We start from the raw sequence: 3,591 nt of genomic DNA on the forward strand, positions 1-3,591 counted from the left end.
TCACTTCCTTAATGAAGCTGCAGACCTTACCGGTGAGTGTTACAGCACTTAAAGGTGTTATGTCCAGAGGTTGTTCCTTCAGATGTGTCCAGTGTTTCTTCCTTCTGGCAGGTTCATGGTCTTGCTCACTTCAAGAATGAAGCTGCAGACTTTTGTGGTGAGTGTTACAGCAGTTAAAGTTGTTATGTCCAGAATTTGTTCCTTCAGATGTGTCCAGTCTTTCTTCCTTCTGGCAGGTTCATGGTCTTGCTCACTTCAAGAATGAAGCTGCAGACCTTACTGGTGAGTGTTACAGCACTTAAAACTGTTATGTCCAGAGTTTGTTCCTTCAGATGTTTCCAGAGTTTCTTCCTTCTGGCAGGTTCGTGGTCTTGCTCACTTCTTTAATGAAGCTGCAGACCTTACTGGTGAGTGTTACAGCACTTAAAGGTGTTATGTCCAGAGTTTGTTTTTTCAGATGTGTCCAGAGTTTCTTCTTTCTGGCAGTTTCGTGGTCTTCCTCACTTCAAGAATGAAGCTGCAGACATTACTGGTGAGTGTTACAGCACTTAAAGGTGTTATGTCCAGAGTTTGTTCCCTCAGATGTGTCCAGAGTGTCTTCCTTCTGGCAGGTTCATGGTCTTGCTCACTTCACTAATGAAGCTGCAGACCTTACTGGGGAGTGTTACAGTACTTAAAGGTGTTATGTCCAGAGTTTGTTCCTTCAGATGCGTCCAGAGTTTCTTCCTTCTGGCAGGTTCATGGTGTTGCTCACTTCAAGAATGAAGCTGCAGACCTTACTGGTGAGTGTTACAGCACTTAAAGGTGTTATGTCCAGAGTTTGTTCCTTCAGGTTTTTCCAGAGTTTCTTCCTTCTGGCAGGTTCGTGGTCTTGCTCACTTCTTTAATGAAGCTGCAGACCTTACTGGTGAGTGTTACAGCACTTAAAGGTGTTATGTCCAGCGTTTGTTCCTTCAGATGTGTCAAGAGTTTCTTCCTTCTGGCAGTTTCGTGGTCTTCCTCACTTCAAGAATGAAGCTGCAGACCTTACTGGTGAGTGTTACAGCACTTAAAGGTGTTATGTCCAGAGTTTGTTCCTTCAGATATGTCCAGAGTGTCTTCCTTCTGGCAGGTTCATGGTCTTGCTCACTTCACTAATGAAGGTGCAGACCTTACTGGTGAGTGTTACAGCACTTAACGGTGTTATGTCCAGAGTTTTTTCCTTCAGATGTCTCCAGAGTTTCTTCCTTCTGGCAGGTTCGTGGTCTTGCTCACTTCAAGAATGATGCTGCAGACCTTAGTGGTGAGTGTTTCAACACTAAAAGGTGTTATGTCCAGAGTTTGTTCCTTCAGAAGTATCCAGGGTTTCTTCCTTCTGGCAGGTTCATGGTCTTGCTCACTTTAAGAATGAAGCTGCAGACCTTACTGGTGAGTGTTATAGCACTTAAAGTTGTTATGTCCAGAGTTTGTTCCTTCAGATGTGTCCAGAGTTTCTTCCTTCTGGCAGGTTCATGGTCTTGTTCACTTCAAGAATGAAGCTGCAGACCTTAGTGGTGAGTGTTACAGCACTTAAAGGTGTTATGTCCAGAGTTTGTTCCTTCAGATGTGTCCAGAATTTCTTCCTTCTGGAAGGTTCGTGGTCTTAGCTCACCTCCTTAATGAAGCTGCAGACCTTACTCGTGAGTGTTACAGCAGTTAAAGGTGTTATGTCCAGAGTTTGTTTCTGCAGATGTGTCCAGAGTTTCTTCCTTCTGGCAGGTTCATGGTCTTTCTCACTTCAAGAATGAAGCTGCAGACCTTACTGGTGAGTGTTGCAGCACTTAAATGTGTTATGTCCAGGGTTTGTTCCTTCATATGTGTCCATAGTTTCTTCCTTCTGGCTGGTTCATGGTCTTGCTCACTTCAAGAATGAAGCTGCAGACCTTAGTGGTGAGTGTCTGCTAAAAACAATGTAAAAATATGTGTCTGCTAAAAACAGTTTAAAAGTGTTCCTCTTTCTCCACAGCCTTGCCAGCATCAGTTGTTTCCTGACCTTTTAATAATCTCCACTATGACTGGTGTGAGATGATCTCTCATCGTCGTTTTGATTTGCATTTCTCTGATGGTTGGTGATGTTGGGCTTTTTTCCATATGTTTGTTGGCTGCACAAATGTCTTATTTTAAGAAGTGTCTGTTTATATCCTTTGCTCACTTTTTAGTGGGTTTGTTTTTTTTTATTTTTGTAAATATGTTATTTTCCTTGTAAATTCTGGATATTAGACCTCTCTCAGATGGGTAAATTGCAACAATTTTCTCCCATTCTGTAGGTAGCCTGTTCACTCTAATAATAGTTTTGCTGTGCAGAAGCTTTTTTCTTTAATTAGATTCCATTCTTCAATTTTGGCTTCTGTTGCAATTCCATATGGTATTAGGTCTTCTGATTCTCCGCTAGTTTGGTAAGGATAATTGCCTACAGCTCCCTAGAGGCAATTATCTCAATTTTCTCAAAGGACATTATCTCCTTTTTTTATGTTTGCATATTATTCTGCAGAAAATTTGTTATCACAGTTTCTTCATCTATTCTATCATCAATGGTCCTTTAGGTTGATTCAATGTATTTGTTATTGCAAAACAAAAAAAATTGTATTTCACCTTACTAAGCTTCATAAATAAAAGTCTAAGAAAAAGTAAATTATTTTCAGACAAGCAAGCACTAAGGGTTCTTGCTACAATCAGACCACCCTTACAAAAGTTATTTAAGGCGTGCTAAGCATGGAAACAAAACATAAAAACCTAACACTTTGAGAATACTATTATGCACATAGCCCACGAACTATGTAAAACATTATATAAGCAAGTCTACAAGACAAACTGCCAACAACATGAGGACAGAATCAAAAGCTTATACATGAATATACATCCTGAATGTTAATTATCTAGATGTTCTCATTTAGAGGCATATTGTGGCAATCTGGACAAAAAGACAAAACTCGGCTGTCTGCAGTCTTCAGGAGATAAATCTTACATGAAATAAAACCCACAGGCTCAAATGAAAGAGATGGAGAAATGTATATCAGCTAAAGGGAAAATAGAAAAGAGTGGGTGGTCTCTGTTATGTCAGATGAAGCAGATTTTAAACAAATAACAATCAGGAAGGACACAGAAGAGTAGTACTGAATGATAACAGGTTCAATTTTTTTTAAAAAGCCTTAACTATACTAAATATTCATTTTCTCAACAAAGTAGCACTTAGATTCACAAAACAAGTTCTTCTTAATCTACGACAAGACTTATACAGTCACACAATAATTGTAGAGAAATTTAATATTCCACAGACAGTGTTACATTGCTCATCAAGGCAAAACACTATTAAAGAAATTCTGTACTTAAATTTGACACTTGAAAAATATGACCTAATAGTCACCAGTAGATTAGTCACCCAATCACTATAGAATATACATTCTTCTCATCTGCACATATAACTTGTTTTAGGGCTGACCAGGTTCTCAGCCATAAAGCAAGTATAAATAAATTTTAAAAAATGAAATTGTGCCAAGCACTCTTGGAACATAGTGCAATAAAAATAAAATAAATACAAATACATATCTTAAAACTACACAAAAACATGCAAAT

Source organism: Homo sapiens, chromosome Y, assembly GCF_000001405.40.
Source record: "Homo sapiens chromosome Y, GRCh38.p14 Primary Assembly".
NCBI classification, from domain to species: domain Eukaryota; kingdom Metazoa; phylum Chordata; class Mammalia; order Primates; family Hominidae; genus Homo; species Homo sapiens.